This window comes from Homo sapiens, chromosome 20, assembly GCF_000001405.40.
Source record: "Homo sapiens chromosome 20, GRCh38.p14 Primary Assembly".
NCBI classification, from domain to species: Eukaryota; Metazoa; Chordata; class Mammalia; order Primates; family Hominidae; genus Homo; species Homo sapiens.
Genome location: NC_000020.11, coordinates 44745676 through 44771794, shown reverse-complemented (window position 1 = coordinate 44771794; position 26119 = coordinate 44745676). Strand labels below are relative to the sequence as shown.

The 26119-nt window shown below is 52.4% G+C and overlaps 2 protein-coding genes and 1 long non-coding RNA gene across 4 annotated transcripts in view, besides 2 other annotated features; 2 read left to right on the top strand and 1 right to left on the bottom strand.

The window, feature by feature from the left end:
- The window catches only part of RIMS4 (regulating synaptic membrane exocytosis 4), a 58739-nt gene extending 38752 nt beyond the window's left edge, over nt 1-19987 (top strand). Inside the window, exons 2-6 of one of the 2 annotated variants that reach the window (NM_182970.4) lie at nt 382-520; nt 13611-13723; nt 14024-14125; nt 14758-14897; nt 15443-19987. In NM_182970.4, the coding sequence (NP_892015.1) occupies nt 382-520; nt 13611-13723; nt 14024-14125; nt 14758-14897; nt 15443-15661 (713 nt within the window). In that variant the 3' untranslated portion in view covers nt 15662-19987. Of the gene's footprint in view, nt 1-378; nt 521-13610; nt 13724-14023; nt 14126-14757; nt 14898-15442 lie in introns of both variants that reach the window. The other variant, NM_001205317.2, reaches the window with a different exon arrangement.
- Nucleotides 13860-15059: an enhancer, noted in NCBI's record as "BRD4-independent group 4 enhancer chr20:43385377-43386576 (GRCh37/hg19 assembly coordinates)". NCBI's record gives its function as "activates an origin of replication core promoter dependent on BRD2, P300/CBP, MED14 and CDK7 cofactors, and independent of BRD4, by STARR-seq in HCT116 cells {active_cell/tissue: HCT116}" and the evidence as "EXISTENCE:reporter gene assay evidence [ECO:0000049][PMID:35650434]".
- Nucleotides 19307-19854: an enhancer, noted in NCBI's record as "H3K4me1 hESC enhancer chr20:43380582-43381129 (GRCh37/hg19 assembly coordinates)". NCBI's record gives its function as "activates a minimal SCP1, AML or CMV promoter by ChIP-STARR-seq in naive H9 embryonic stem cells {active_cell/tissue: H9 hESC(naive)}" and the evidence as "EXISTENCE:reporter gene assay evidence [ECO:0000049][PMID:30033119]".
- Nucleotides 19482-25930, bottom strand: KCNK15 (potassium two pore domain channel subfamily K member 15). The gene is made up of 2 exons (NM_022358.4): nt 25602-25930; nt 19482-21666 (listed from the first exon to the last, which is right to left on the bottom strand). Exons 1-2 carry the CDS (start codon nt 25882-25884, stop codon nt 20957-20959), a joined length of 993 nt encoding a protein of 330 aa, NP_071753.2. The 5' UTR covers nt 25885-25930; the 3' UTR covers nt 19482-20956.
- Nucleotides 25568-26119, top strand: part of KCNK15-AS1 (KCNK15 and WISP2 antisense RNA 1) — a 34366-nt gene continuing 33814 nt past the window's right edge. The window contains exon 1 of the long non-coding RNA NR_132377.1: nt 25568-25830. This is a non-coding gene — a long non-coding RNA (KCNK15 and WISP2 antisense RNA 1). The remainder of the gene's footprint in view (nt 25831-26119) is intronic.

Here is a 26119-nt window from a genome sequence, read left to right as displayed (position 1 = left end):
TCTGCTGAGGTCAAGAAACCCTGGTCAAAATCCATGCAAAGCACTTGACACAGTAGGACACATAGTAGGTGCTCAATAAATAGTAGCTGAAGAGGAGGAAGAGAAATGATTTGGAGAAGATTTCAGGGGAGAAATGAATTCAAGGGGGAGAAAAAGCACATGTAAATGAATCTATCGTTTAACAGAACTCATGCAATACTGTTTGTTGGTGGAGTGGTTACTGGTGAGGCCAGGAGTCTGAGGAGGTTGATGGGCTGAGGGTGGAGGCTGAAGCTGGACAGCCCCCAGCTGCTGAAACACTGCTAACCAGATGACTCTTCTCTCTGTCCCCCTCCCACCTGTGTCTCTCTTCCCATCTCTCTTGGCCGCTTTGCCCAGAAGGGGACAGCCGGAGGCTGAAGGGGGCCATCCAGAGGAGCACGGAGACGGGCCTGGCAGTGGAGATGCCCAGCCGGACACTGCGCCAGGCCAGCCACGAGTCCATTGAGGACAGCATGAACAGCTATGGCTCAGAGGGCAAGTAAGTGTGGGGCCACCAGCCCTCCTGGTTCTTGCAGTCTTTTGTGGTGGGGCACGGGAGGGACTGAGCAACCCCTCTGGGAGCCCTAGGGCAGCTCCAGGCTGTGAAAGCGCCAGCTCAGGGCTCCAGGTTCATCCCCCATCTTCAGAAGGGAGGCAGTGTAACAGCAAAGCCCCGAGGGAGAGCGAGCCCCGCTGCTTGGATTTGAATCCTGGCTCCACCCCCTTCCTGCTGTGTGACCTTGGGCAAGGTCTCTAAGCCACAGTTTCCTCATCTGTAAAATGGGATTAACAGCATCAGCTTCATAGGGGTGTTATGAGGATTAGACGTTTACAATCCATATAATGCAGGGGTGATATTTATACACAGCATAAAGCAGTGTTTGGCACTAAGTGCTGTATATTAGTGCTGCTTAAGAAATAAAGGAGGGGTAGAAAGGGGTTTTATTATCATCATTATTTCCTCTTTACTTTTTTAGTTTCCTAAATCCCGTTGGTTTTGAAAAATGTATACTACTGCTTTATAAAGGCATTTCTTGAGCATCAGCTCACTAGACAGTAGTGTGGCTGGCTCCTTGCCAGCGTTTCCCTCTGTGGGCTCCGCGTCAGAATCACGGGAACACGTTACCAGTGCAGCTTGCAGGACCCCACATCCAGGCTGCTGACTTAGTCTCTGGGAGTGTGGCCTGAGAACTCCACTGTTAAAAAGCTTTTACCCTAGAGCAACTCACCTAGACTAGGGGTTTCTCATTTTCACAGACCCCTTTAAGAATTTCAGGAAAGCATTGGGCCCAGTTTCCCCCAATACACACAGCCCTCAGTGCATGTACACCCTCATTCTCCCACACACAGTCCTGCGAACATGCTTTTCTCATAACTGTAGGGGTTATCAGAGTCCCCTAAAACCATCCATGGATCCCTAGATCAAAGAAACTTTGATCCAAAGCAACTTCCTTATCATACAGATGACCAGGGCACTCAGAGAGGTTAAAGAGCTCACTCTGCATCATGAAGTGTGTTACCAGGTCTGGAACCCAGGAGTCTTGACTCCCAGCCAGGGGTTATTTCCCAGCACTGCATCGCTTCATGGTCCTAGCTATCGTCTAAAGTCAGGGAAGTGGGGTGGGATATCATGATTCTTGTGCACATGGGAAGACTGAGGCTTAGAAAAGTTAAATTCCACAACTGTCCAGAAAAGTAGCCACTAGAAGCATGTGGCTAATTAAATAAGATGAAACTTTCTGTTCTTCTATTGCACTAGCCATATTTCAAGTGCTCGCTAGCAACTTGTGGCTAGCGACAACCATATTGGGTGGTGCAGAAAATAGAACATTTCCATCATCATAGAAAATTCGTTTGAACAGTACTGGCTAAGTGACTTGTGCAAGGACAGACACACAGCCACTGAGAGGTGGGGCTGGGGCTTGGCCTCCACTTTTGCTTCCCTTCATTCTGGCCCTGCCCCTCAGCTGGGGGCTTCTGCTGGCTAAAAGCCTTCCCCACCCCCAGCCCCTCCTAAACTGGGCATCTTCAGCCTCGTGAATGGCCTTGCCTTAGCAGATGCTGCTGTTCCACCCACCTCCTAGCGAGACTTTCCCGTGGGCGAGAACAGGAGGAGGACAGCGGAAGGGAGAGGAGGAGGAGGAGGAGGAAGGGAGCCAGTGTTTTCTTTAACCTGAGAAACATGGCAAGGCAGCAGAACTTGGAGGAAGATATTCTCAGCATCTGGGGAGCAGTGGGGCCCTGCTGACAGGTGTGAGTCTCAGGGAGTCAGGAAGCTCAGGTCCTAATCCTGGCTCTGCCACTCATGCCCCTGGGTGGGCTTGAGCACATCAGTGGACCTCTCTCATGTTTGAGGCCAGTAAATATCTGTCAGCCTCACGGGCAGGTCTGGAGGACTAGATTGTGGGAAGGGCAACGTGCTTCAGTGAGCAGCAGCAGAGAAGTCAAACCTGCATTTCCGTTTTATAGAAGAGGAGATGAAGGCTCAGAAAGGCCACATGACCAAGGGGAGCATTATCAGAGTGTGTTATGAGGAAGAAACGAGGTGATGCCTGCAGGTGATAGGTGTTTGGAACATGGCTCTTGTTACTGTTTGCTGTAATGGGTTTTAAGGGACCAGAGAGTCTAATTACAGACAGGTTCAAAGCCAGGACTCAAAAACGAGACTGCCCTGGTATGTGGTTCATTTCAGCTTCTTAGTAGCTGTGTGGCTTTGGGGAAGTTACTTCACCTCTCTGAGCCCAGTTTCTTCATCTATAGAAAGGGGACATAACAGTGCAGACACTTACAGAGTTGTGAGGGTTCAATATGTTAATACATGTAAAAGAACTTAGCACAGTGACCAGCTCTGTAATTGTTAGCTATTATTGTTTGTTGTTCATTAAGCCACTGTTTGTTGGCTATTTTGCTGTTTTGGTCAGTTGCATTCTAACGGATATAGTGAGCCACCCCAAATACAGTTGTGTCTATAAAGTGCTTAGCACAGAGTAAGCACTGAGTAAGTGTTGGCTGTGAGGATTACGATTACTAAAAGGCTTGAGGTGGGTGTTCTGAGCCCAACTGAGGAGGTATCAGGTGGGTTGGAGGGTGACGGGTCCAGCAGCAGGGGACAGTCTTGGCCTCCTGAAAAGAGCTGAGTGTTGGTGGATCCCAGCCAGGCGAGGCGCTGCCACCTGCCCAACACCTGGGCGAGGTAGGGACACAGAAGGAATGGGTGGGGACATTGAGCTGTGGTCAGACTTCTTGTTCTGTAGGCATTTTGGGCACTGGTTTGGCCCAAATGCCGGGCTCTGAAACAGGAAGGGACTGTTCTCCCTTCTCCCCACCCCTTGGGCTTCTGCCAGCCCAGCTGAGGCTTACAGGGAGCCAGCCCCACTTGAGCACCCCCGCAAGGCTGCAGCCCCTGGCACCGCTGGGTCTGTCTGACTGCGCTGGATCACCAGGCGTATGTATTCCTGCAGGTAGGCACAGGATTTTCATTTCAGCAGATGTGATTGAGCACTTAGAATGTGCCAGGCAGTTGGGTCAGGCACCTCAGATACCTTGTCCTCCATGAGCTTCCACTCTTGGGCACTGACTAAGCAACTAGCAGTGTGGGGAGAGCTGCAAAGGACAGGTATAGAAAACTTGGGAAATGTTGTGTTCCCAGCAAGGTGTCAGGGATGGGGAAGGGGTGCCTGTGGGTTGGGTCGCTCTGTCAGTGAGGATGCCTTGAGTCCCGGGTTATGTAATACCAATGGACAATGGCTTCAGCCCTTGCTATTCGAAGTGTGATCCACAGCCCAGAAACACTGGCATGGGAGCTTGTTAAATATGCAGAATCTCAGCCTCTACCCCAGACCCACTGAATCAGAATCTGTATTTTAATGAGACCCCCAGCTGGTTTGTATGCACATTAAGGTAGAGAAGCCCTGGCTTAATGGTAATAATGGCCGTGGCTAACTCTTGCAGAGAACACTTACTATGTGCAGACACTGTGCTGGGCTTTTACTTATATTGACTCATTTAATTGTCACAACAACCTGACAATGGGACTGTTAATATTCCCATTTTACAGATGAGGAAATGGAAGCTCAGAGAGGGTAAATAAGTTGCCCCACGTCACACAGCCAGTCAGTGGCTGAGCTGGGATTCAAATCCGGGCATTGGGTATCTGCCCTTAATGTTTACACTCTTTTTCTCTTTAATGGTTGCATTTATTAAGTTTTTTGGAAGTAGAGGCTTCCAGGATGGTTTGGTAGTTCAAGGATGCCATCAAGGACCCAGAGCCCCTCTCTCTTTCCACACCATGGGCCTCATGCTGGGCCAGTTGTGGTTGATCCCCTGGGGCTGGGGAAGGGCTTTCTTTCCTTGAGCCTGTTTCTGCCTGATCAGAAATTGGAGCTCTGTGGGTTAAGGATGCAGAGTCAACCAGCCATGCCACCAGGCCAGGCCCATCTCACCCAGGAAAAGGGCAGGAGCTAGAGCTCAAGCCCTCTGAGATGGGGCCGTGAGAACAGAACCTTCCAGACATACCATACTCCCCACCTGCCCTAATCCTGAGATACTCCCTATTGACGTGTGTTCTAGTTTGGGTTTTCCCAGAACCAGACCTGAGACATGGGTTCAAGTGCAAGTGATTCACCTGGGAGGTGATTCTAGAAAATAATAGCAGAGGAGCATGTGGGAGAGAGGTGATGCACCCAACAAAGCATGCTTTAAGAAGCCAGCTTTCCTGGTGGGCAACCAGAGCCAATCCTGATGGGGAACTCTCGGAACCCATGTGAAACATGCACCTGGGAGTTATCTCCTCAGGAAGTGAGGGAGCTGAGGTATTTATATTCCAGCTCTTAACGAGTTACTGAGCAGTGGCTGCTCCCTGTTAACTCTGGCTCTTCCTGTGGTAACATAGGCTCTTGAGGCTAGAGAAGCTCTTCAGGGGCCAGAGAAGCCTGGGCAAAGGCATGCAGACTCTGGCGGTTAGAAGTCAGCAAGCACTGACATAATAAGGGGTGGGGGGATGGCCCAGCAGAGCCTGCTACACTGCCTGGGTGCACAGGGCTACCATCTCCCCAGCTGCCCAAACCAGAAATCTGGGGTTCTTGCAGACAGTTCCCCCTCTCCAATCCATAATCCATTCCCAATCCATAATCATGCTGTGCCATTTTATTCTTAATGATCTCTTGAATCCATCCATTCCTCCCCACTTCCATCTCCTGGTCAAGGCCATACATCGCTCTTGCCTGGACACCTACAGGTCTCCTTTTTGGTTGAACACCACAGTTTGCCACCCAGCACTTATTCTTCTGACTTTTCCCAGCCTCTCCCAGTCCCCATCCATGTGGGGACTCCACCACCCTGAACCTTTACCCTTCACTTTTCTCACCTCCAGGTCTTTGCATCCATTGCACCCTCTACCTGGCACTTCCTTCTCTACCCCTGCTCCCCCTTCACCCTCTGACTCATTCCTTCTCCAGACCTCAGCTGAGAACTGGCACAAAGGCTGTATCTCATGTGCCAACACCAGTAATTGATAGTGGTTCCCTGGAGTGCTGTGTTGAGAAGGATTCTGGAGCCAAGTCCAGGCTTGGCAGGAGAGCTGAGGTTGATTAGCAATGTCTGTCCTGGGCGTGGGCAGAAGTGGAATGGAACGGGTAGGGCCTACCGTTCCTCTGGCTGTATCAGCAGCTCTCACAGTCCCCTGTCCCTCCCCCACCACAGTGCCCTCCACTCTCTATCTTGTCACATGTGTGTCTGTCTGTCCCACTAGACACTGAGTTCAATGCCTGTCTAGCTGGCCCACAGTTGGTGCTCTGCACATTCTGATGAATAATAGGTGGGTGTGTGTGAGCAGAAGCATGCATACATTTCACTCCTTCCCGCCCCTTCAGCACACAGAATCCAGGGCCTTGGCATCCTCTCTGTTGACCCAGAAGCGCTCCAGGCTGGCTCCCAGCACCCACCTGCTTCTTCCCTCTGTTCTTTGTTGTCCCGAGATGTCTGGGTCATCGGCATCCAGGTCTCTGAGTGTCTGGGTCACTGTGTCCACAGCCCAGGGAAGCAGAGTGTAAGGCAGTGGCAGGGCCACTGAACCCGGGCTCAGGGTCACGGTTCTACCAAGGCTGTTTCCTAATCACCAAAGGCTCAGGAGCCTGGGTGGGTGGTCAGAACCCCCTTTTCTTCCCCACCTCTACTATTTAGCAGCATTCCCGTGCCCAAAGGACAAAGCAGAGCTGGATGCATCTGTGGCTAGGAGACAGGGATTTGTTTTGTTTTGTTTTGTTTTATAAGCACTAGTATTTCTTGAGCATTTGAGTATGCCAGACTCTGTTCTAAGGCGTTTATCTCATTTAATACTCACAACAGCACTGGGATTATCCTATTGTTCTTTATTCCTGTTTTCCTGGGGAGTAAACCAAGGCTCTGAGAAGTGAAGAATGTGCCTCCACGACTAGTGAGTGGTGGAGTCAGGATTCAGTTCCAGGCCTGCCTGACCCCGTAGCTTTGACCTGCAAATCCCTGTGCTTTGCTCTGGGCAAGGCTGAGGTCCCCTCAGGGCAAATAGAGACAGTATAACGCAGTGCTTAGGAGGGTGAATCCTGGAGCCAGACTCTCCAGGTTCAAGTCCTAGGTCTGCCACTCCTAGCAGAGTGATTTTGGTTCAATTACTTAACAATTCTGTGCCTCAGTTTCCCATTTTATAAAATGGGTATTAATTACAAATACCTAGCTTTTATAGAGTTGTTAAGAGGATTAAATGGATCAACATTGATAAATAGTACTATCAGTGCTTGGCTCAAGATGAGTTTTTGACAAATAAAAAAATAAATCCTTGGCTTTGCACCCATGAGCCACACACAGTCTCATAGAGGTGGTCAGGCTTGGAAATACCTTGAATGGTTGAGAAGTCGGGGTCAGGATTGTATGATATGGTATATCCTGGCACAGGGCAATTCTGCTACAGTACTTGTTTTGAAAACGAGAATTTGTTCCAACATGATTCAAGTATTAGGGAACAATTTGAGCATAACATAAATTTTGCATTTGTTCAGGTGCAATTTCATCCACGAGGAGCACTGGGTGAATGAAGAAAACTGCACCCACATAAGAATACACAAAACACATGCGCCTCAGACATCCACGGCACCCTCAGTTTACTATTATAAGCCACACCTGTCCACACCTGGTGGTACAACTTTCCATTGACTTCAGTTTTTCCCTCACCACCTCACAATCACTCACAGGCTGCACCTCTTCCGACACCCACTTCCACAAGCAAACTGCAGGTCATTTTCAAGGTCAAATGCCATTTTTATTGTAGTATTTGTGCATTTCTAAAGCATTTAACATATTTAAAACCATGCTTTCATTTTTACTGCATTCTTGCCTTTTTCTGTTTTTGATGTGACACTGACCCCATTTTCCCATAAGCTGTGTGATTTTTATAGCAAGATTTTGCGTTGCACAGTAATTTTTAGAAATGTATATTTCATGTTACAGCAGAATTGATTGCATTGTAGGCTTGGTGAGTTTGTGGGAGGATGGATGGATGGATGAATGGATGGACGGATGGATGGATGGGTGGATGGATGGATGGATGGATAAATGGATGGATGGATGGATGGATGGATGGATGGATGGATAAATGGATGCATAAATGGATGGATGGATGGATGGATAAATGGATGGACGGATGGATGGGTGGATGGATGGATGGATGGATGGATAAATGGATGGATGGATGGATAAATGGATGGATGGATGGATAAATGGATGGATGGATAAATGGATGGATGGATGAAGTGATAGGTGGATGGATGGATGGATAAATGGATGGATGGATGGATAGGTGAGCATGTAGTGAATGGATGGACAGGGAACCCGTAAACTCCTAAACCTTTGAGAATCACATAACCTATAATCACCACAAGGGCTGTGCAACCTTTTAATTTCTGATGCTGTTGAGACGAGTGATCCATCTGGAAAAGAGAATGGAGTCAAACCCCTGCGTGAGCCAGTTACTTCTTTCACCATCAAGAACACAGAAAATCCAGGGGCCAAACCAAGCTCAGAGGTTAATAATAAAAGACCAATGGGTTTCAGCTCCACAAACAAAAGTAATAGGATTTGAAATGCAGGGAATCTCATTTCACCATTAACACAAAATAAAAGGCCAGCAGAACATGGGTTGTAATCCTGTTACAGGGCTTTGCGCCTGTCCAAGTGGCACACGTCCCTGGAAGGGACCCGCTGCTGCAGTACTCCCCAGAATGGCTTGGGCTTATTCTCAGGCATCCAGATGCTGTACTTACTAACAGGTCTAGAATCTGAAATGCCATGAAAATGCCAAGAATGTGGCAAGGAGGCTCTCCCAGGCCAGGCAGCAGGCCCAGCAGGCCATGGTATCTCACCCTTTGATTCACTCAGCAGGTCCTCTGTGCTAAAGCACCTTGCCTACACTAGCTCTCTGACTCTCCCCAACAACTCGGCAAGGTAATTACTATTTATTCCCATTTTCTACATGAGGAAACTGCAGCTCAGAGAGGTTAAGACACTTGCCACAGGTTGTACAGTACTGGCATCCAGGGTCTGCGTTATGCCAAATCCAGTCTTCACTCCATCCTTTATTTTCCCAGTGTAAGTCCTGCTGTAGGGTTTGGCAGTGAACATCTATTGAGCTCCTGTTGCATACAAGGACTTGTCAAAGTTGTAGCACATATGCAGCACTTAATGCAATAAGCTCTTTTATACCCCTGTGCTCATGGATGCCGTAAGCAGAAATTTTGAAAAACATTTGAAACTGAGACAGCACAGGCACTGGCCAACAAAAAGGCCAGACACTGTCCATGAGGCAGTGTGATTTCATTTGCAGATAAGAACATTGAAATGCAGAGACAATAACAACTTGTCAGAGGTCACACAGCAAGCAGTTGGCTAGTGAGTTGTAGAGGCAGATTTGATTTTGCGGCCTCTGCCTTCTTGTGTACTCCAGGGAAGACCCGCAGTTGGATTTCTGGCCTAGTAGGGCCCAGCCACCACTTTATTCCTCCTTCCTCCAGCCCCCAGGAGGACGTGATAACCTATTCAGGGTTTCTGGGGCGTCAGCCGGGTTCCTTGGCAGCTAGCAAGGCTCCCTGGGATAGGAAATCAGGCAGCCGCCCAGATATTATAAACAATTACCGCTAATTACCAGGCCTGCCAGTTCCCCATTGTCTGCTCACAATCCCACCAGGAACTGAGAAGCAGACAATGATGACGTTGGAGGAAACTTTCAATTTCAGGCTGCAGAGGGCCTCCCTCTGCCTGGGAGGCTGCGCTCCTTCCATGCCTGGAATCCGTGAGACCCCCACCATTTCTCAGGCTTTTGGAGCCCAGACACTCCTTACAAAATGGAGGCTGGCCCCCTAGATGGCTGGGAGGGTAGGGTGGAAAAGAGACCCAGGGGCATGGAGGAAAGGCCATGTCACCAGTGTGAAAGAGGTCAGGGGTCCCCAACCCCAGGGGCCTCCCCCAGGGGTACTGGTCCCTGGCCTCTTAGGAACCAGGCTGCAGAGCAGGTGAGCGGTGGGCGAGCGAGCGTTACCGCCTGAGCTCTGCCTCCTGTCAGATCAGTGATGACATTAGATTCTCATAGGAGCATGAACCCTGCTGTGAACTGTGCATGAGAGGGATCTAGGTTGCAAGCTCCTTGTGAGAATCTAACTAATGCCTGATGATCTGAGGTGGAGCAGTTTCATCCCAAAACCATCCCCCACTCCCTGCCCCAGTCCATGGAAAAATTGTCTTCCACAAAACTGGTCCCTGGTGCTAAAAAGGTTAGGGACCCCTGGTCTAGACCATAGCCTCTGTGCTGTTAATTAAGGGTCTTTGGTTTTGCAAGAATAGTGGGTATACCTTTCAGTCCCCAGACACTTACGTGACTTTATTTTTTCATACTTTCTGTCTATAAAAAAACCATTGTTGCATAATTGTTAAGATAATAGACTTGGAAGCCTCACTCTCTGGGTTCAGATACCACTCAGCTTCTGTCTTGGTTTGGCTTCTTCCAGAGCAGACCCTGATTCAAAGATTCAAGTGGAAACTGGTTATTTGGCAGGCCATCCCAGGCAACCCGAGTGTGGGAGCTGCAAGGAATGGGATGGGAAGGGAGGGGAGCTAATAACGGATGCGTCATCAAGCCTGCTACCACTAAGGGCAGCTGGAGCTCAGGCCCACTGGGGAGCCTTGGGAGGCTGGGTGAACATTCACCTGCATTATCCCCCCTGCAGACTCCCAGTTTGTCACTGGGTGGGGGCTGCTTCTGAGGCATGAACCCTCAGGTGCTTCCAGCCTGCCCTGTGCCACAGGCTGAATTTGCTTCCCCAGCAAAATTCAGAATTCTCACAGCCAGAAAATAAGCCCTCAGACCTAGTGGCAGGTGTGAGAGCAGGTAGCTTCAAAGTATAGAGGTGAGTGCTGAGGGATAGGGTGGGGCCATGCAGTACCTGTGTCATTTGGGTAGGTTTCTTAACTCTCCGGCTCATCTATAAAATGGGCCCAGTAACAGTATTGACCTCATGGGGTTGTTGTGAGGCTGAAATGAATTAATAAGTATAGAGCACTTTGACATTTGTGGCATTTAGTGAGCACTGGGAGTTCGCTGTTGCTAATCTCTGTATCAAGTCCCGCTGTGTCCTCTGTTTGCTGGAAACTTAGACCCACTTGGTTCAGGATTTTCCCAAATGTTATGCCTGTGTCCTGGGGAAGTTTATGTGGAGAGAATCTGTGTAAATTTCTAGAACAGGCCCAGGGTAACTATCAAAGTATTTAATAAGAAGCACAAGTCACAGCTACTGATCACACTATTTTGTATTGCCGCCCACATCCCCCCCTGCCCACATTAATTCTCTACTTATTTATTACTAAGATTTCTATCATTTACCACCTTCTAACATACTGTAATGTTTATGATATTAATTGTGTGTAATATGTCACTAGAATCTAAGCACCTGAAGGGCAGAAATCACTGTTCACTAACATATTCCAAGTGTCCAGAATAGTGCCTGGACACAATAGAGTGCATAGTATGTGCTCAGTAAACATTTGTTGGTTGAATGAATGGATCAAATGGACGCCGGCCATAACACCTGGTGTACCAGCTGAATGTCAGTGAGGGCTCGTGTCCAGTAGCATTGGCTGCTATTATTGTGGTGCTCAGACACTGGGGACAGAGTGTGTGGTCTGCAATCATCATCCATCATCCTGGTGTCTCCTGGAACGTGATCTTACTGTCTGCTCCTTGGTCATTGTTTCTCATTGGTCTCAGCTACTTCTCTTTGCCCAGACCACCAGGCCTCTATGGATCTGCCCTTCTCTCCAGTGCACCTGGATCATATGTTCCTCTCTAGGGTATGGAGGGATGTACAGAGAGCCTCAGAGATCTCCCAGGGGGTTACTTGACAAGAAGCCCAAGTAGCCATTTCTGTAAAGTGTTCTGCCCTTTTCTTAGCTCCACCCAATAAGAAGAGTAAGTGCAAGTCTCCTCTGCTTTCAGATCCCCCCAGCCTATCTGGAGTTTTCTGTCATCCCCCAGCACTCACCAGCTGCAGACTACAGACCGTCCTCAAGGATCCTGCAGCATCTCAGCTCTGTTCCCTCCTTGCCTGACTTCCTCTGCTCTCCCAGGCTGAGGGTTTGTCTGTTTCGGGGCAGGATAGCCTAGTTTTGTACCTATTCTTTCAAGTCTGTTTCTTAGATTTGGAACTGAAAAGTCAAGAGCCCAAGTCTCTTGCTCTCTACCTCCTGCTGGGTCATTCCTTCTCTGAGGCAGCCAACATAGGACACCCTGGCTACTGTCTGAATGGGGAAAGCAAGCCAGGGGTAGTAGGAAATCAGGAAAAGGGAAAGCACTCAGGCTGAATATTCTGCCATTAACTCTGCAGATAACTTAAGTAAAAACAGAACACTGGGGGACTTCAAATGGTTCAGGGAAGAATCGGGCAGCCAAGACTGGGTAGCTAGTAGAGTTTATGGGTTTTGCCTGAGGGCAGGCCATTTATATGGCTCAGTTCTTGTGACTTTTAGTCTCCAGGATTCTCTTTTTTATTTCCCAGAGAGAGGTTTTGATTGGCCTGGCTTGGGTTAAGCCTCTGACTCTGTATGCCTCATCTCTGGCCAGGGAATAGGGTCACCCTTTTGCTGGGCAAATGTGTTTCTTATTTAAAAGATGGTGATAAAGATCAAAAGCCAACCTCTTGGGCTAGGCGTGGTGGCTCACCCCTGTAATCCCAGCACTTTGGGAGGTCGAGGTGGGTGGATCACGTGAGGCCAGGGGTTGGAGACCAGCCTGGCCAATGTGATGAAACTCTGTCTCTACTAAAAAACACAAAAATTGGCCGGGCGTGGTGGTACACGTCTGTATTCCCAGCTACTTGGGAGGCTGAGGCATGAGAATTGCTTAAACGCTTAAACCCAGGAGTTCGAAGCTGCAATGAGCCAAGACCGTGCCACTGCACTCCAGACTGGGCAACAGAGGGAAACTCTGTCTCAAAAAAAAAACAAAAACCAGAACAACAACAAAAAAAACCTCCTGTGGTTGTGGTGAGGATCAGATGAGAAAATGGGTTGCAAGTGCTTTGGTGCTCAGGATAACAGAGGCACATCAGGCATGGTACTTAGTGCCTCATCGCACTTAATACAACAGACCTAGGAGATGGGAACATTATTATTCCCATTTCACAGATGGGAAAGAGATACTTAGAGAAGTGAAGGGAGTGGGGAGAACTGACTAAAGCTGTCTTAGGCAAAATAATAAAATTATCTTTGTTGTTGCTGTTGATATTGACTTAACGTAACCAAAAGATGAAGTAGCTTGCTTCAGGCAGAGCTTGATCCAGGAGCTCACACAATGCTGTCATTTTGATGGTTTCATTCTCGGGATCCAGATGGTAGCTACATAGCACCAGAAGCTCCAGTCCTGCATCTCAGGCTCAAGTCTGGTGGGAAAGAGAGCGTCTCACTCCCCATAGTTCAAACAAAGCTTCCAGGCCTGATTCTTGTTGGCTGAACTGGGCTACATGCCTGTCTCTGAGCTGATCACTGGCCGAGGGGAAGGGATGCCCTGATTGGCCAGGCTGAGCTGGAGGCCCAGTCTCAGGAGCTGTTCCCTCCACCCCACTGTGATCATGTGCCACGGGGAGGGGGTTCCGTAAAGAAAATTTGAGATCTTGTTACCAGAGGAAGGGGAAGTGGATATTAGGTAGCCAAGCAGCCGCAAGAAATGCACCCCTCAGAGTCTAGAGCCGTTTGCAGTGCAGCTCACACTTTCACGTGCAAGGGCATCATCTGGGGCTCGCATTAAAATTCAGATTCTGATTCAGCAGCTGGGGGTGGAGTGGGCTGCAGTTCTATGTATCTAATTAGTTCCCAGGTGATGCTGATGCTGCTGGTCTCTGAACCACACTTTGAGTATCAAGGCACTAAACCACATGAGCCAGATACTGGGTAAACCTTATCTCCATCCCAAGAGGGAAGTTTCAGCATATCCATTGCATGGAGGTTGACTGCTTGAGTCCAGAGTTGTTGGTAAACCACTGGGAATGTGTGCTTTGTCTCACCTTTTCCTCTTGCAGCCTTAACTATGGAGGAGTTTGCCTGGCGTCGGACGCCCAGTTCAGTGACTTCCTGGGAAGCATGGGGCCGGCACAGTTTGTGGGCCGCCAGACCCTGGCCACCACACCCATGGGTGAGTGCCCCAAGGCTGGTTTCAAATGGACTAGGGGAGTTGGGTGTCACACCAGAAGCTCAGCGTCTCTCCCTCCTTCCCCTTTGCCTGTTGATCCATCCTCTGCGCATGCCGCCTAGAGCCCAGGGCACACTCTCAAGCCCTCAGCAGAGCCTAGGCACTTGGTGGGAGTTGGTTCTGGTCTTATTCTGGGCTGGGAGCAGGGGAAGGGGGTTTCAGCCCTAAGTAAAGGAGAAGAGCTGAGTCCAAGCTTGAGCTTCTGAACCATTTCCCAGTCTCATCTCTTGGTGCCTCTTCCAGGGGATGTGGAGATCGGTCTGCAGGAGCGGAACGGTCAGTTGGAGGTGGACATTATCCAGGCTCGGGGACTGACAGCCAAGCCAGGCTCCAAGACACTGCCAGGTCTGGGGCCTACCTTCCCCTGCAAGGTGGGGGTGGAGGTCAGGGAGGATATCCTGATGGGTACTGAGGGCCTTGAAGAGAGAAAATTGGGCCCAACTGTGGGGACCCCCTGTCCCAACTCTGATGTCTTATGTGGAATTGGTAGTTTAGGGTTTGTTTGAAGAGCCAGTTGAGATTGTCTGTTGACCTTGTTCCTCTCCTCCACTGGACTGAGCTCCTGGAAGGCAGGGACCATCTTTCCAGCTTATCATTATACCCCAGTGCCTAGCAGGGTTCTTGGCATGCAGTAGGTGCTCAGGCTTGGTGAGTGAGGGGGTCAGCAGATAGATGCATAAGCCAGGGAGGGGGTGGGCACATTATGGACTGAGAGAGGAAACAGGTGAGCACAGAGTGAGCAAAGGAAGGGTGGAGACAGTGAGGACCACCAGAGGAGGTGGGGCAGGCTGCACCCAAGCCCAGCTGTACCTGCTGCCCCCAAATGCCCACCCCCCATGTGTCCTGGTGCGTCCTCCCCAGACCCCATGGGGGCACACCTATCTCCAGCAGAGGGTGGGCAGCCTCCCTCTGTTGCACCCTTTGCCCACCATTTGAGGGCCAAACTAGAACTCACCCCTGCTGGCCTCTATCCCCAGCGGCCTACATCAAGGCCTACCTGCTAGAGAATGGCATCTGCATTGCCAAGAAGAAGACCAAAGTCGCTCGCAAGTCGCTGGACCCACTGTATAACCAGGTGCTGCTGTTTCCTGAGAGTCCCCAGGGCAAAGTCCTCCAGGTGAGGGGCATTGACGCGCTCACGTGTGTGTGTGTGCACGAGCACACATGCACAGTACCAGAATGAGAGGAGGGCACCCCTGGCGGGGGGTGTCTCTGGAGGGCCTCGCCTGGAGGAAACAGGCGAGGCCCTCAGTTCACTGTGGCTGAACTGAGCTCCACAACTTACTGCACAACTTTGAACAAGTTCCCTTCTGACCCTCAGTTCCTTCATCTGTAAAGCGGGGACCCTAATAGTACCTACCTGATAACATTCTGGTGCCAGTGGAATGTGTGCTGTGTGCAGGAAAAGTATTTGCAGTTTTGCCTACAGCAAGTGTTCTACCCATTACCATCGTCACCGTCACCATTACCATCAACAGCCTCTGGAGGCCAGGGGCTTGGTGTGATGCCCCGTGATAAGAAAGGCCTGTTGAGGAATTGCAGTTTTAAGGAGGTAGAAATCACAGGACTGAGCTGGATTGGGCATGGGGCGACCCAGGTTCTGCTTCTGGGCCTGTGAGTGGCACTGGCAGGATTTGAACCACTGTGTCTCTTGCCCCACAGGTGATCGTGTGGGGGAACTACGGGCGGATGGAGCGGAAGCAGTTCATGGGTGTGGCTCGCGTGCTGCTGGAGGAGCTGGACTTGACCACCCTGGCCGTGGGCTGGTACAAGCTCTTCCCCACCTCCTCCATGGTGGACCCAGCCACAGGCCCCCTGCTCCGGCAGGCATCCCAGTTGTCCCTCGAGAGCACCGTGGGGCCCTGCGGAGAACGATCTTAGTGCTGGAATGGGGAGGGGCTCCCCAAGATGGCCTGGAGACCACCCAGCCCTGACCTGGGACCCCAGGCCCAGGGGCACATTGAACAGGAGGACGGGGCTCTCCCCCACAGTGGGGAAGCAGAACGGGGAGACCTGCCCCCCCTTGGGCCCCTCCTCACCCCTTCTTTGCCTCCTACCCCCGAGACCTCCCCTCTCCCAACGGGATTGGCTACACTTTTGACTTGGCCGGTTCTTGACCTGGTGGATGTGGCTGCAGTCCAGAGAAAGGAAAGATTGAGGTGGCAGAGCAGACCACTCTCCCTTCCCAAACTGTCCAACTTCTCCCCCTTTTTGCCTCCTCGGAAGCTCGCTGCCCAGAGCCATGTCCAGAACCCAGCCGGCCATCTCCATGGTGCCAATTACCAGCAAGTGTCTTTCCTGCGGCACCGGGTTCAGGCAGCTACTCCTGCCCCAGAGATGAAGGGGCAGCTTTGCAAGGATCCGGAGCCAGCTCCCAGGGGCCCAGAGCCCCCCACTTGAAGAGGAGCTTGAGCTTCCCTCTGCCTGCCCGTGGAAGGAGCTTTGCCGCAGCCTGTCCGAGTCCATCCGTCCGTCCCCTCCTGCCTGCCCCTCTTCTGGTGGCTCTAGGAATTGGGGTTCAGCAGGGACCAAAGGAAAGGAGGAGGTGCCGGGGGCCTGGCACAGACCCCTAGGTGCCTCGCTCCATGGGATTGCAACAAGCTAGTTTAGGAACCGCTGGCGGACTAGAAAGAATGTTGTCGTCTGTGTTCCGGTGGAGGAGCTGTGGAACCTGAGTTTCCAGAACCCCAACCCTAGAGAGCATTTGGGGGTGCTGTATTGGAGGGGGAGGCTAAGGAAAGTTGGGATTGGGACTGGTGGTGCCAAGATAAGGGTTTCTCAAATTGGAGAACCCCTCCTTGTTGCATGAGGTCAATGGTCATCCTGTCTACCCACCCTGCCTCCAGGCCAGGGGGCTGGGGAGGCAAATAGAGCCCCCCTATTTTAGTCTTTTTAAAAAAAACATCCTATACTAAGGGCAGAACCCACTGCCCCGGCCTCAATTACCTTGGCTGAAGGAAAGATGGCGGTAGGAGAGAAAAGTGAAGAGGCGTGAGTGTAAGAACTGGGAGATTCCTTTTCCAGCAGGCCTGGGTAGCTGCCTTCCCAGCCCAGCCCTCCCTGGGGCCTGCGGGAGCCCTTTTGCATGCAAGGGAGGATGGAGGCTGGCCCCTCTTTATAGAAGCACATTTCTGCCACCTCCCCTGGGAGGCACCCAGAAGCCTGCCACTCTTTACCTAGTCCCTGCTGTGTAGGGCGTAGTCCAGGTTAGCTAGGTAGAGTTAGTGCTCCAAGCCCTGGGGCCTGTTCTTAGCTCATGCATAGTCCTTACAGAGTCCCAGGACCGGGGGTGGAGAGGAGCCTCAAGTACATTCCAGGAGACCACTGTCTCCTCGCTGGCCTGGGCCTAGATGGGGCAGCCTGGCTCACAGGAGGCCAGCCCCTCCTCCTCCGCCCCCTTCCTTCCCTTGTCCCCGTAGGGTTATAGCTGGAGCTGCCTGTTATACTCGGCTGTTCTGATTTATTATTCTTGGTACTGACTTTCTTTATGAGGGACTCCTAAGGGTTGTAGGACCTTGGCAGAGGGGGCCTGGTCTCCATTAGAGGGTGTTGTTTTCTCCTGAGGACACCCAGGCTGCCTTTGGTCCCACCCTGTTCCTGGTCCCGGTCCCGGTCCCAGTCCCACCAGGCAACTCCTTCCACCCGGAAATTCTTCCCTTCCCTTAGCCTGTGGAAACCCTGGGTATTCTTTAAAGTTCTGGTCAATGTATATCACCTCCACAGAGCTGCTTACCCTGCACTGGGAAGGGGAGATGGAGACGCCCCCTTTACCCAGGAGGTCTTCAGAGTTTCCTGGGACCGCGGTGGGTGGAATCCCAAGGCTGGGGGTGGAAGGAGCAGGGCTCTGGAGGGATTCGCATTCAAGGCACAGAATTGGCCCCTTGCCTGTTTGTTTTTCTAACCAGTGTGATTTCTCTGCTGTTCGTTTATTACTTACCATTGGAATATTTTGAGCCAGGAGAGCGCCTTCTCTCTCCAGCCATCACCGCTGTGGTTGTTCAGGGGTAGCTTTTCAAAAACAGGGCAGAGCCTGGCTGTCCCAACCAGGGGGAGCAGGGGCTTGGCCCTGACAGCCTGAGCCCTTCCCCTGGTGTCTGCACAGCCTTTATAAAGAGAGAGAGAGCTCCGAAGCAATAACAACACCTGGGGGTGGTCAGTGAGGGCCCCCTCAATGATTTTCTTGTTTGTTCTGTGAAATCCCGCTCACCTCCTGGAGGGGTGGAGCAGCTGGGGGCTGGAGCCCTGTTTCTTTGTGTCATCGTGAGCATGTGCCCCTTCCCAGGGGCTGTGACCATTGGGTGTGGGAACTACGGTCTGTCCTCACCAAGGGATGGGGGTTTGGGGAGGAGAGTGACATTTTCATCATTAGCTTCGGAGAAGCTTCAAGCCCATCCTGTCCCCGCTACTGCCTGGCCCCTTGCTGACTCAGGCTGCACTGTTTGAAGAGGAGCAGAGAGGCTGGCACTAGGGGCCACTGGGGGGCTGGGGTCTCCAGGGGATGACTGTTTTCAATCTCTGGGCCAAGATCACATGCAGGATACCATGGGAAGGAGCCATCTCCACTCTCCTTCTCCAGAACCCCCTTGAAGGGCCTTTGGGACCATTAGTCCATTTCCATTTTACAGACAAGGAAATCAAGACCCAGCTTGGGGGAAAAGCCACCCCTGGAGTCACCTGTGTGTTCAGTGGCACCCCCAGCCTGGGTCCCCTCCTCCCAATAGAGGCTGAGCCGGAGCCAGGGCAGTATGAGGTGGGGCTGCCACTGCCCATACCTCCTCCTCCCTTCTTTCTTTGAAGCCTAATGGCCCCCCAAAAGATGGGCAGGACAAGCTGTAGCCCATCTGAGAGGTTGGGAAACTGAGGCCCAGAAACAGGAAGTGACTCACACAAGACCCCTCAGCAAGGGTGCAAAGGGGGAAGAACTAGGGGCTCCATTGTTCTTCAGGCGACAGGAGACCGTTGCTCCAGTGCATGTCTGCTGGGACAAGGATTCCTGGCCTCGAAGCCCTGGGCTGCACAGCCCTACTGGGCTCCACCTCTATAAACCAGTGACTTCTCTGGGCCTGGGTCTGGGGGAGAGGGTTGCCAGGGAGACTCAGCTCTCCTTGGGGGCTGGCCCAGCTGACTGAGGGTACACAGGATTGGGTCTAGACCTTGATGCCTGGGTGGAGGGCCCTTGTAAGGGGCCATAGCCTCTTCAGGACCAACTGGAGGGAGAGTTAGGAAACACCAGCTCCTGCCTGGGGCAGTGAGGGAATGGGAGCAGCTGTGGGCGCCTCATTTCAGGCAAGTCCTCCCCAAACCTTCAGATGCAGTGAGACCTGGCCTTCCTGTTGTGCTTTTCAGACTTTGTTTTCAGAATGCTTTTATCTCGAGTGTGCCCTTCGGCCCTCACAAGAGCCCCTGGGGAGTAGGTGGTGGCCTGTGCCGTCATCCCCATTTCAAAGCAGGGAGCTGAGGTCCTGGGAGGGGAAAGTGCTTGCCTGAGGTCCCACTGTGTTAGTGGGTGGGCAGGACTGGAACTCGGTTCTCCAACAGCCCAGAGCTCACTCTTTTACACCCAGAGGTGGAGCAGGTGGCTTAGGGGGTGGTTATGTACTTCACAAGCCAATTCCCTTCAGCCAGGAGCTCCTGGGTGCATTTCCGTGTCAGAAACAGTACCGAGTCCCACCCCCTCTGGAGGCACAGCTGTTGCGTCAGGCAAGGTCACCTGCATTTATTTATTGAGCAGCAGTGCTGTGTCAGGCCCAGGGACCGAGCCCCTCTCCCTGTTCCCCTATGGTGTCTCCGAGGCCCTCTGGGAGGGCCCCACATCTGGAGCAGCACCTCAGAGTGGACAGAAAGCATTAGCGTCCACGAGCTCACCCGACGCCGAGCCTGTGAGGTGGGCTGATGGTGCCCGTCTAACCCAGCGCTTCAGGGAGGTCAGAATGGAGCCGAACCCAGGGCTGTGAGCATCACCTCTGGAGCCCTTTCACTTTATGACTGCTTCCTGGACGGGTGGTGGGAAGGCAGGAGCCTGGGTCCTTAGGCTGGGGGCCTCTCTCCATCCACCCACCTTTCCCTCATTCCCTCTCTTGGAGCAGCAGCCGCCCAGGCCTTTAGGGAGGGAGGGTTTCTGGGGCCCTTGGGTTGGAGTGGGGTCGCGTTGCATTGTGTTCATGACCATGTAGCTCATGTTGAAATTAAAGTTTTTGGCTTTTCTAACCTGGCTCGTTCATGCTTTGTGTTGAGACAGCCCTATCTGGGAAGCCAGGGGAAGTGGCTGAGTGCCACGGGGTGCCAGGATGCCACACCTCGGGCTTTGTCTCTGCCCCCTTATGGTGCAGGGGCCTGTTCCAGAAAGTCCTGCCAGAGATGCGTAAGAGGGAGCAGGGTTCTGGATGAACCCCGTCATTCTACAGATGTGGAAACTGAGGCCCTGGGAGAGGATGCGATTCTCCAAGGTCATATTGCTGGTGATTGACAGGACCCGGAAGAGAGCTCGTCCCATGGCATTCTGCTGTGTCCAAGTGGCCCCAGTGACATGGTGGGTGGGTGACAGCAAGGCCTCCCTCATCCTGAAGTGGGGCTGGCCAGGGACAAAGAGCATCAGCTGTCTGGGGGAAAGAGGCCATCATTCACACATGGGCTGATTCCACTCTATACACTGGGCAGAGAATGAGATCGTTTAGCGCAAGAGATTGACCCCCTTGTCAACACTGGACTGTACACGGTCCCATTTGGTCCACCTTTGTTCCCCATGCTTCTCGTAGTGTGAGCATCTGACCTCACTAATTGCAGCGAAGATTCCAGTGTTGAAAGTTGCACATTTCAACCGTTACTCAGAAAACCAGCCTCTTCACAACAGAAAAGTTGCTCTGGAGGGTCGGCTCTGAGGTGGACCTGTGCAGAGCCTCTCCTAAGTGCTGATGTGGCCACGCCCTCATACAATTTGGACTACAAGGAATTTGCTCCTACAGGGTGACCCTGGAGCCTGGTTTGTGCTTATGGTGTGACTGTAATATATTTTTGGAAAGGAGGGAGGGGACTTAGCCACAGACAGTAATGAGAAACTGCTCGTGGCAGAAGACCGCCTAGAGGCCCGTCATCCGTTTCCAATCCCTGGGGAGGGTGCCCTGATAGCTGAAGCCAGACCCTCCCATTCCAGATTCGACCCTGGCCTGGGTGGGGTTGTCAGATGGACTTCCACCGGGCCCCAAGCCTGGGAGCCTGCCCGCCACGCACGACCCCCGGGCTCGAGGGGGGCGAAAAGCCCAGGTTGTCGCGGGCGCACCTCTCCAGCTTGTGCACGTGGCAGAAGACAGAGGCGGAGCCCACGGAGCGGGCCGGGCGGCGGGGCAGCCAGAGGCCACGGCTCTCGGGCGCCCCCGGGGGGCGCGGGCTGGGGGTGCGGGCAGCGCGCTCGGGCCAGTCGGCGCTGGCAACGAGGAAGCGCAGGACCACCAGGTTGAGGAAGGCGCCAATGACCGTGAGCCCCAGGAGGATGTAGAGGAAGCTGAAGGCCACGTAGGGGAGCTTCCTCTGCAGCGCCTCGCCGCTCTGCAGTGCCACGAAGTCGCCGAAGCCGATGGTGGTGAGGGTGATGAAGCAGTAGTAGTAGGCGTGGAAGAAGGTCCAGCCCTCGAAGTGCGAGAAGGCGACGGCCCCGAGGGCCAGGGTGGCGGCACACGCCAGCAGCCCGGCCACCACCAGGTTCTCCGTGGACACGCACGTCCACCGCAGGCCCAGGCAGCACTTGGCCGCCAACAGGAGGCGCCGCACCACCGCGTTCAGCCGTTCGCCCAGGCTCTGGAAAGTGACCAGCGTCAGCGGGATGCCCAGGAGCGCGTAGAACATGCAGAAGACCTTGCCGGAGTCCGTACCCGGCGCGGCGTGGCCGTACTCTATGCAGGGAGAGCGGAGGGGAGGGCTGTGAGCGCCCAGCTCCAGCTGACAACAGTCCCGCCCGCAGCCTGCCTGCCCGGCGTGTCCCTCCCCGTCCCCGGGGCTGGAAGGGCATCTCCAAATACTAGTCCTAACTAGGTCATTCATCACCCCAAACTTCAGACAACCCAAGTGTCCCTCGACTGGGGAATGGATAAACAACCTGTGGGGCATCCAAACACCAATTTTTTTCAGCAACTGAATGAACTCCTGTAACTTGCGGCAACCAAGGATGGATCTCAAATGTCTAAGCTGAGTAGAGGAAGACGAGCTCGAAAGCCTACAGACCGCATGGTTCCCTATAAATGACACTCTGGAAATGACAAAACTGTGGCAACAGAGAACAGATCTGTGGTTGCTTGCCAGTAGCTGGGGTTGGGGGCAGGCTTAACTACAGAAGGCATGGTAGAATTTTGGGGGTTGATGGCAATGTTCCGTCTTGACCGTGGCTGCAGTTACGCGGCAGGTGTTCATCTGTCAGGAGTGTACACAGGAAAATGGTGAGTTCTACTGTATGTAAATTATGCCTTGATGAAAAAAAAGCAAAACTTTCCCCACTTTCCAGCTACACCCCGAGCTGCTTCCCCAGTCAGCATGTCCTCTCCACATGCCTTTTCTCCTGACTACCTCCCCCTCCACTGCTCAGCCTGCCCGCACTGAACACCTTTTGGTTCTGATTGTCTGGCGTGGCGATTCTTACTGGGTCCCTTCAACTACTATAGGGAATCTAAACACGACTGGGCAATCTTGAGTCCTGGAACACCGCGCCATTGCAGGGGAATGAATGGGTATCTCATTGTGTGTCTTTTCCTGGAAAGAGGAGCAGTTGCTTTCATGGTATTCTCAAAGGAGCCTGTACGCCAGGAAGAGTCAGGAGGCCAAGAAGAATGCGCCTCCTCTAACAGATTGGCCCTACCTGCCAAAAAGTAAAAAATACAAATCCTTTGACCAAGGTAGTTCCACAGTTAGGAAGTTAGCCCTTCAATATACACACATGAGCAAAAATATGTGTGCACTTGGGTCGTCATTGCAGCATTGTCGGTCATAGCGAAAATGAGAAACAATGTAAGTGTCCATCCAAAGGGGCCTGGTTAAATAAATTATAGTGCCATCCAAACCATGGGATACTACAGAGTAGCAGTTCTCAATCGAGGGTGGTTTTGCCTTTGAGGGGACACTTGGCAACATCTGGAGACATTCTGGTTGTCACAAATGGGGGTGAGGAGTGGGGATGGCTGTGTGCTACTGGCATCTAGAGAGTAGAGGCCAGGGACACTGCTAAACATCTTGCAATGCACAGGACAGTCCCCACAGCCCCAAATGTCAGTAGTTCCAATGCTGAGAAACCCTACAAACAAGATGACGCAGCTCTTTAGAGACTGACATAAAAACATCAACATATATTCTATAAGTGAAAAAAGTAAGAGACAAAACTGTGTGTATAACGTCTATACAATGTGTGTGTTTTAAAGGAATATATAGGCAGAGAATATATCCAGAAGGACACACAAGAAACTGGCAACTGTATTTGACCCAGGAAGAGGAATTTATGAGCTGAGAGACAGGGTGGGAGGGAGAATTCCTTTTCATTCCATACCCTTTTGTGCCCTGTGAAGTGTGTACTGTGTGCATATATAACTTATTCAGAATATCAGCACTACATACATTTAAAGGCCTGTGGCTGCACTTCCACATTTCTGTTGCATAGCCCTATCACTTTGCCTCTCTGTTACTTTTGGGAGAAAGGGGGTCTGCTCATCACTAGACTTTGAGCTCTTTGAGGGCGGGGACGATGGTGGTGTAGTCCCCATCACCAAGGTCCTGCACAGAGCCTGACGTAGACCAGAAGCTCAATGAGAGTTTATTGAATCAAACCAAGCTGAAGGGGGTGCTGGTGAGAAACAGAAGAGTCTCTTTAGGAATAAAAGGCTTCCAGCTGTTTGGGACTGTGCCAGGTTTTGGCAGAGAGTGAAATGAATAATGATAATAACTAATAATGACAGTAACTAACCCATGTATGTACTCTGCATGGATTATCAGATTTAACCCTCCCAATGACTATATGACATGTTGTTATTCCCATTTTATAGATAAGAAAACTAGGTTCAGAGGGACAAAACTGCCCAAAGGCCACAGGCCTGAGCTATTAACCAGCACCCTCCACAGGCCTGAGCTATTAACCAGCACCCTCCATGGGCCTGAACTATTAACCAGCACCCTCCACGGGCCTGAGCTATTAACCAGCACCCTCCACAGGCCTGAGCTATTAACCAGCACCCTCCATTGCTTCAGTGCCTCTCTCCCATCCAAGCAAAGCCCAAATTCCTGGGGCCTGGCACCTGGCTCTCTGCAAGGCTGGCTTCAGCGGACTAGACCACAGAGGGTGGTGGTGCCCCCAAGTGGCCAGAAAAGGCAAAATTCCTCCTGTTTCCACTTGAGTCTCTTACATCAGCCTCCCAGACGTACCTCAGAGGTAAAGAACCAGGGTAAGAGGCCAAAACCACATGGCAAGCCTCCAAAGAATGTAGATAAAGGCAGAGAGAACAAGTTGATGGCATCCCAGACCAGTGGGCACGGTAACCAGGAGGGTCTCAGGTGTACCAAGATAGGAAGCAGGGGTGTCCATGTGGACAGGAGGGGGCAAAAGAGCTGAATAAGAGCTGGAGCCACGTTGGCAAATAATGAATTATTACAAATGAATAGTGCCTACTTGGCTTCAGGCACTGTGCCAAGCATGTTACATGCTTGACCTCACTGAAACCTGGCAGTCACCCAGTGAGGTAGGAACAATTGCATTTTGCCTTTGGGGAAACCAGGGCTTGGACAGGTGGAATCAATTGCCAGAGAAGGCAGGTGGCAATAGAGATGAGACCAGAACTCCAGTCTCTGTGATTCCAGAACTCATACTTTTAACTCCACTGCAAAAACCACAGCTCATATTCACTTGCAAGAGCATTATGGGGAAACTTTCTCCAAGGCACTGGCTTTCGGACTGGTGATCCAAGCCCCAGGGGGGGTGCCGGGACGTTCACAGCTGGAGCCTGGGGAGTGGCTGGCACCAAGCCTGGAGCCCTGCAGAGCCCACTTCTCTCCTTCCTGTTCCCCCAGGTTTAGGCTCAGCAGGTACCAGCCAGATGGTAGTCATGGCAACAGCTGGTGGTCCAGATGCTCCAAAGGAACTGCTCTGCATCCCTGAGGGCAGAGTCCAGAGCCTGTGGTTATCAGTCATTCCTTTAACAAGTATTTATTGATCATCTACTGCATGCTAGGCACGGGTCATACAGCAGTCCCTAAGACAGACTGGGTCCCCATTCTCATGGGGTAACAATAACAATTGCAATAATAAAAAAATGATCTTTTCTTTGTAGTGCTCTGTATGTGTCATGTTTTAGCACAGGCCTTGTCTGTGCATAGTCTGTCTCCTGAATAATAACTCTCACCACAGCCCTGAGATAAGGCCGATTAGCGACACTATTTTACAGAAGAGAAAACTCTGGCTCAGAGAGGTTGAGCAACTCGTCTAAGGTCACACAGCAAGTGTGAGGCAACCAGGCAAGGAAAAGCAAATCCAGCCACTTGGTCTCCCAGCCCCGCTTCACCTATCTCCAAGCCCCTTGGACGTTTTCTGAGCACTCCTGGGTCAGCCTTTTGGCAAACTCGATTTACTGATTCCTCCCGTCCCTGCCTGCGTGGGCTGACAGCTCCATTCAGCAGAGGGGGGCAAAGGAGACCAGGGAGACGAGGGAGGCGAAGGAGATGAGGGAGGCTCGGTGAGCCGAAATGACCCGTCCAAAGTAGCTCAGCTGGGCGGGGGCAGAGGTGGGACCGAAACCCAGAGGCGCCCCGGGACGGCTGGGGCTGGAGCGGGCGCGGAGGGAGGCTCCGGGCGGCTCACCGATGGTAGTGATGACGGTGATGGCGAAGTAGAAGGAGCCGGGGAACTTCCACTGGCGGCCGGCGCGGTGGGGCTCAGCCTGGAGCGCCAGGCGCTCCAGCTCGCGGTAGTCCTCGGCCGAGAAGCCGAACTTCCTCCGGAGAGCGCCCCGCTTCTGGACCAGCAGTCGCTGGCGGCCGCTTTCCGCCTCGGACTCGAGCGCGTCGAAGACAGCAGCGCCCACCAGCAGGTAACACAGGGTGCACAGGACCAGCCCGGCCGCGCGCACGCTCGGCCTCCGCATGGCGCCCCGGCCCCGGTACCCGCCGCGGTCCCAACCTGCTCCGTGTGCCCGGACCGCGCGCTCCGCCCCCTCCAACCCCGGCCCCACGCGGCAGGGTTGTGACGGGCGAGGCGGGGCGACTGCCGGGAACCTGGAGGCTGGGATCGCCACGGGTGGGGGCCGGAAGAACCGCTCCCCTGTCCGCCTCCCACTCGCCTGCCCGGGGTTCATGTGTCTGTGAATAGTGAGATCTGAA

Coding starts and splice junctions, on each gene's coding strand:
- KCNK15 (NM_022358.4), bottom strand. CDS start 25,884: ATGCGGAGGCCGAGCGTGCGCGCGGCCGGGCTGGTCCTGTGCACCCTG. Junction 21,667..25,601: donor CACCGTCATCACTACCATCG/GTGAGCCGCCCG, acceptor CTCCCTGCATAG/AGTACGGCCACGCCGCGCCG.